The following is a 5,834-nucleotide window of genomic DNA, read 5'->3' as shown; positions in this document are numbered from 1 at the left end:
GGCGTTCTCTGTATTTCCTGAATTTGAATGTTGGCCTGCCTTGCTAGGTTGGGGAAGTTCTCCTGGATAATATCCTGAAGAGTGTTTTCCAACTTGTTTCCATTCTCCCCATCACTTTCCAGTACACCAATCAAACGTAGATTTGGTCTTTTCACATAGTCCCATATTTGTTGGAGCCTTCTTTCATTTCTTTTTACTCTTTTGTCTCTAAATTTCTCTTCTCACTTTATCTCATTAATTTGATCTTCAGTCACTGATACCCTTTCTTCCACTTGATCGAATTGGCTATTGAAGCCTGTGCGTGCATCACGAAGTTCTTGTTCCATGGATTTTAGCTCCGTCAGGTCATTTAAGGTCTTCTCTACGTTGTTTATTCTAGTTAGCCATTCACCTAATCTTTTTTCAAGGTTTTTAGCTTCTTTGCAATGGGTTCTAACATCCTCCTTTAGCTCGGAGAAGTTTGTTATTACCGACCTTCTGAAGCCTACTTCTGTCAACTCATCAAAGTCATTTCCCATCTAGCTTTGTTCCATTGCTGGTGAGGAGCTGTGATCCTTTGGAGGAGAAGAGGTGCTCTGATTTTTACAATTTTCAGCTTTTCAGCTCTGGTTTCTCCCCATCTTTGTGGTTTTATCTACTTTTGGTCTTTGATGATGGTGACCTACAGATGGGGTTTTGGTGTGGATGTCCTTTTTGTTGATGTTGATGCTATTCCTTTCTGTTTGTTAGTTTTCCTTCTAACAGTCAGGTCCCTCAGCTGCAAGTCTGTTGGCATTTGCTGGAGTTCCACTCCAGACCTGTTTGCCTGGGTATCACCAGCAGAAGCTGCAGAACAGCAAATATTGCAGAACAGCAAATATTGCTGCCTGATCCTTCCTCTGGATGTTTCGTCCCAGAGGGGCAGCTGCCTATACAAAGTGTCAGTCAACCCCTACTGGGAGGTGTCTTCCAGTTAGGCTACACAGCGGTCAGAGACCCACTTGAGGAGGCAGTCTGTCCATTCTCAGAGCTCAAATGCCATGCTGACAGAATCACTGCTCTCTTCAGAGCTGTCAGACAGGGAGGTTTAAGTCTGCAGAAGTTGTCTGCTGCCTTTTATTCAGCTATGCCCTGCCCGCAGAGGTGGAGTCCAGAGGCAGTAGGGCTTGTTGAGCTGCGGTGGGCTCCACCCAGTTCAAGCTTCCTGGGCCACTTTTTTTACCTACTCAAGCCTCAGCAATGGCAGACACCCCTCCCCCAGCTAGGCTGCCATCTCACAGCTCAATCTCATACTGCTGCTCTAGCAGTGAGCAAGGATTTGTGGGTATGGGAGCTGCTGAGCCAGGCACGGGAGAGAATCACCTTGTCTGCCGGTTGCAAGACCTTGGGAAAAGCACAGTATTTGGGCAGGAGTGTCCCGTTTTTCCAGATAATCTGTCACAGCTTCCTTTGGCTAGGAAAGGGAAATTCCCCGAACCCTTGTGCTTCCCGGGTGAGGCAACACCCTGCCCTCCTGCTTCGGCTTGCCCTTCATGGGCTGCACCCACTGTCCAACCGGTCCCAATGAGATGAACCAGGTACCTTAGTTGGAAATGTAGAAATCACCTGTCTTCTACATTGATCATGCTGGGAGCTGCAGACCAGAGCTGTTCCTATTTGGCCATCTTGGAACGCCTTAAATCTCTGTCTTTATTGATATTCTCTATTTGGTAAGACATCCATGTCATACTTTCTTTTGATGTTTTGGACATGGTATGTGAATGTAAATATTTATATTATATAAATATATATTTACAACATAGAAATATTTGCATTTATATTATAAATGTTTATCTTTGTACATGTATAAAATAACTGATTTAAAGTCTTTGTATAGTAAACCCAGAATCTGCCTTCTCAAGGACATTTTCTGTTGCTTGCTTTTGTTCCTATACATGTGTCATACTTTCTTATTTCTTTGTATGCCTCATAATTTTTTTGTTGAAAGTTGGACATGTGAGTTGATATTCTATATTGCAACAACTGTGATATCAGATTCCTTCCCCAAGATTTATTTTTTGTTGCTGGCTTATTGTTATTGTTTTTCCTCATTGCTAATTACTGGTTTAGTGACTTTTCTGGACTAAATTTGTAGATTCTATATTACTTGTGGTGTGTGGCTATGAAGTTTTTGCTACTTTTTTAAGTTCTTTTTTTCTATTTTTAAGCCTGGATTCCTGGGGTCATACCTGGGTCAGCATAATTTATTGGTCAGCCAATGATTGGTGGGGAAATTTCCTGAAATGCCTTGCCTGCATGTCTTCAACCATTTGCCAAGGAGATCTGTGTGAGAAGTTAAGTCTTCAAACTTCAGGCATTTTTCAGTGTAGCATTAGCTTTCATTTCCTCCTTGTGCAGGGCCTTGTGGTCAGCCAAAGGTAAGACACTGGTGACTTCTCTTTTCCAGATCCTTCCTATGCATGTGCACAGCCTTGGGGAAGTGTACAGCTTATTAGATCTCCAGGACTATGCCAGAATTGCTCAGTTTCCTATGGTAGTCTAGTTGTCCAGGATTTCCTTTTCAATTCCCAGCTGGACTCTTGTTTGCCCTAAATAAAATTACAGCCTTAGGCAGCTGAGATGTTGCCAGCAACTTGCTGTTGGTTCAGTACCATCCTGGGAATAGGTTTCCTCCCTTCCCCACTGCCCACCCCCACCGCCCCCGCTGCTTCCCCAGCTGAGCTGAGCTCTGAATTCAATCAAAGAGCCACCACACTCTGAGAACAGAGATTTACCGGGGAGCTGCAAGTTCGTTTGGACAAAATATTGACTGCCCTATGGGGAATGCTTCTCTCAAGGACTGTTCCTCCCCCACCTATCTGTTGGCAGTTCTGTCTTAGGACGTGCTTTGGATCCTGTCTTAGGACAACTTTTCTTCTCACTGAACCTTGTCTCTGGATTCACTTATCTACTCCCATTTGTGGATCATATATGTGCTGATAACTTTGAAATGTAAGTCTCCCTCTCGGTGCTCCCGGAATTCAAACTCTCAACTGGAAAGCTCCACTTAAATATTCCTTTGGCAACAAAACCAATGTGTTCTGAAGCTGAACTCATTCTCTTCCCCGCCCTGCTCCTCCAAACAACCTGCCTCTTGTCTCTTATAAAAAGGACAGGGGGCCCCTCTACAAGGTGGCCCCAGCAGGGTCTCCCTGCACATTGTCCTCCCACAGCATTGCACCCCACATCCACACAGTCCAGGGTCCAAGCAACTCTGCCCTCTAAACTCTCTCCCATGCTTCTTTCCCTCCGTATCCTCCTGCTGCCTCAGCCTAGGCCACTCACCTCAACTTCCCTGGTCAAGATTGAGACCCCTGCACACACTCCTGTGATGCCCTGTGATTAACTCACTCAGAGCCCTTCCCACGCTGAATTCTACTTGCCCTTTGCTGACCCATCTCTCACCCCAGAAGATAATCTCCAAGAAAGGGCCAGGTCTTTGTCCTCATCCCCATGGCTACAGTTTGGTAGGCACTCAAAAAGTATATGCTGAATAAGTACATATTTGTAGCAGCAACTTGAAATTCTAATGATGCTCAGGTGAAACTCTATGTTTGGGTTATCCAGGGGGAAAAAATGGATAAGCACTAATAAAAACAATGAGTGATGCTGAAAATGCTTCGACACTAATCAAACGCACACTCCCAGAGGAGTCTCACTATGTGTGTGTGGAGGAAGGAGATATGAGAACACCATGAGAAGCTTGGCAATCATTCTTCATTCTGCAGAGTAACTGTGACTCAGCTGTAGTTTAAGGAAGATGTGACTAGACAGCTCAGGACCACCATATTTCTGGACTCTAAATCCTTGTTACTTGGCTGGAAACCCTAGAGTGAGTTGACTACAATTTTCTTGAGATTAGAAATGTGTTTCTTCCAGTTACTGACAGGTCAAAGTTTTTCTTTGCAAGATTTAAGCAAACTCTGCCTTAACTGTAGCCAGAAAGACAGATAACCTTTACCACCAGGAATTTATTTTTAAATTTAAAATGAAGTCATTGGAAAGTAAAAAATTTAAAATGCAAACATCTTTAGAAGGCATCTACCTGCAAATCTGGAAATTGCAGACAGACTCCCCCACAGCTTGTGTCCTGGGCTGGCTTTCTGTTGAGGCCTGGGAGTGATACATATATGTATCCCACTGTATTGAGTTGAGAAATGACCCCCACACACACCAAAAAATTCATATCCAGCTTAAGAGATGGAACTTCATCCTTACCTTTGAAGATTCTGGGTATACCTCTTCTAGGTATATCTCCCTTCTATAACCAGAAGACCAATTTTAAAGGAAGAAATCTGAATAGAAATGCTGGCTGTAGGCAGGTGCCACTGTGAGGTCACTCTCTCCTCAGAATCCAAAAGGACCAGCCAGTTCTCTCTGCACACAGTCACCATCCACAGTGCAGGCAAATGATGTAAATTTGTCCACTGGGTCGCTCCCATGTAGTACCTTAAATCCAGAGAGAGTGACACAAATGTTTAGGGACACTTGAGAAAATATTCAAGACAGCCAAAGGCCCAGGAATGGCTTCCAAAAACAATGGAAATCGTGGCTTATCTCAGCTGCTTTTCCTGTTGTCTAACCTCCCTTGGTTCCAAGCCTTGCTCACCAGCCTTCCCCTGAGTTGTGGGAGTATCTCTGTACACACTCAGCAAATCCTTTTGCTGCTTAAATTTGCAGTTACAGCTCTGCTCCTGTGCTCTCTCATAGTGGACAGTCCATTGCCACATGGCAGCTCCTGGTTGACTCATCCTGAGCTCCAGCTCCCAGCTGCAGCCCTGGACCAGGCTCAGAGTGAGCACTAGGAAATATCTATTGACTAAATCAAGCCTTGGGACAAAAAGAAGAAAAATCTTGGGACTTAGGCCTAGGGGATTTGGAAGAAAGCTTCCTGGTTCCAGGAACTCTGCCTGTCAGGAGAGACGCCATTGTGTCTATTCTTTGGATTATCTGGCATGAAGCAAGGAACACAAGTCACTCATCCTTCTCCTCAGTAATGCTGAACAGCTGCTCTGAAGTGAGCACCAGATGAAGTGCCCATAACCCCCTTCTCTAAATTAAATGTAATAAAGATGACTTTCTCTTTCATAAAGCATGGTTAGGAAACATGCCAAGGGATCCTTGTCTTCTTCCTGCTCTCTGGCAACTCTCTGGCATTGGAGACAAGGCAAAGCAAGGGCAAATGTTTTCCGGGGACACCAACCCCAGTCCAGGCAGCTGCCACCCACTCCCCTCTGAGCTGTGAGGTCAGTGGCTGTGGGGCGTGAAGCTCTCTGCTCCTCTGCAGAGGCAAGCTGGTCTCGCCCTGCATGTTACTCCTTCCACAGGCATTCACAGAGGGCTGAGGCCGGGAATCTGGAGTCTAATGCATGAGGCAGACATAAGAACACATTAATCCAGCAGATGGCCAAGGCTTCTGTCTGACACTTGCACTGAGTGCTGGGGAAAAAGGGGGGCACAGTGGAGGTGTTAGAGGGGGTCAGGGAACGTGCACACCGGAGGTGTCCCTGGGACTGGAGCCGATGTCAGATTGGGGCTGCCATTAGGAAATACTGGGTAGACGGTGCAGACTGAACAACCACATGAGTCAATGCGTGATGGCCTGGAGGTGCAAGAAGGAGTTTGAAGGGAAGACAGAATTGCAAGGTATCTTGCAGTGAGCCTTCTAGGGTGTGCCAGAAGTGGGCCTTCCTTCCCAGTGGGATCTGGAGGACCAATTCTGGGAGAGCCGAGAACACAGAGCCATGACCCTTCCTGGTGATTTCCCACAAGCCTGGACACGGGCTCTTTCTTCCTTTATGGGTCCTGGCTGGACA

At 45.7% G+C, this 5,834-nt stretch overlaps 1 annotated feature.

Annotated features, from left to right (window-relative positions):
- Positions 3,320-4,519: an enhancer, noted in NCBI's record as "MED14-independent group 3 enhancer chr10:44972894-44974093 (GRCh37/hg19 assembly coordinates)". NCBI's record gives its function as "activates an origin of replication core promoter dependent on BRD2, BRD4, P300/CBP and CDK7 cofactors, and independent of MED14, by STARR-seq in HCT116 cells {active_cell/tissue: HCT116}" and the evidence as "EXISTENCE:reporter gene assay evidence [ECO:0000049][PMID:35650434]".

The sequence above is a fragment of the Homo sapiens genome, chromosome 10, assembly GCF_000001405.40.
Source record: "Homo sapiens chromosome 10, GRCh38.p14 Primary Assembly".
NCBI classification, from domain to species: Eukaryota; Metazoa; Chordata; class Mammalia; order Primates; family Hominidae; genus Homo; species Homo sapiens.
The sequence above is the reverse complement of the archived record's forward strand: the minus strand, read 5'-3'. Positions and strand labels throughout refer to the sequence as shown.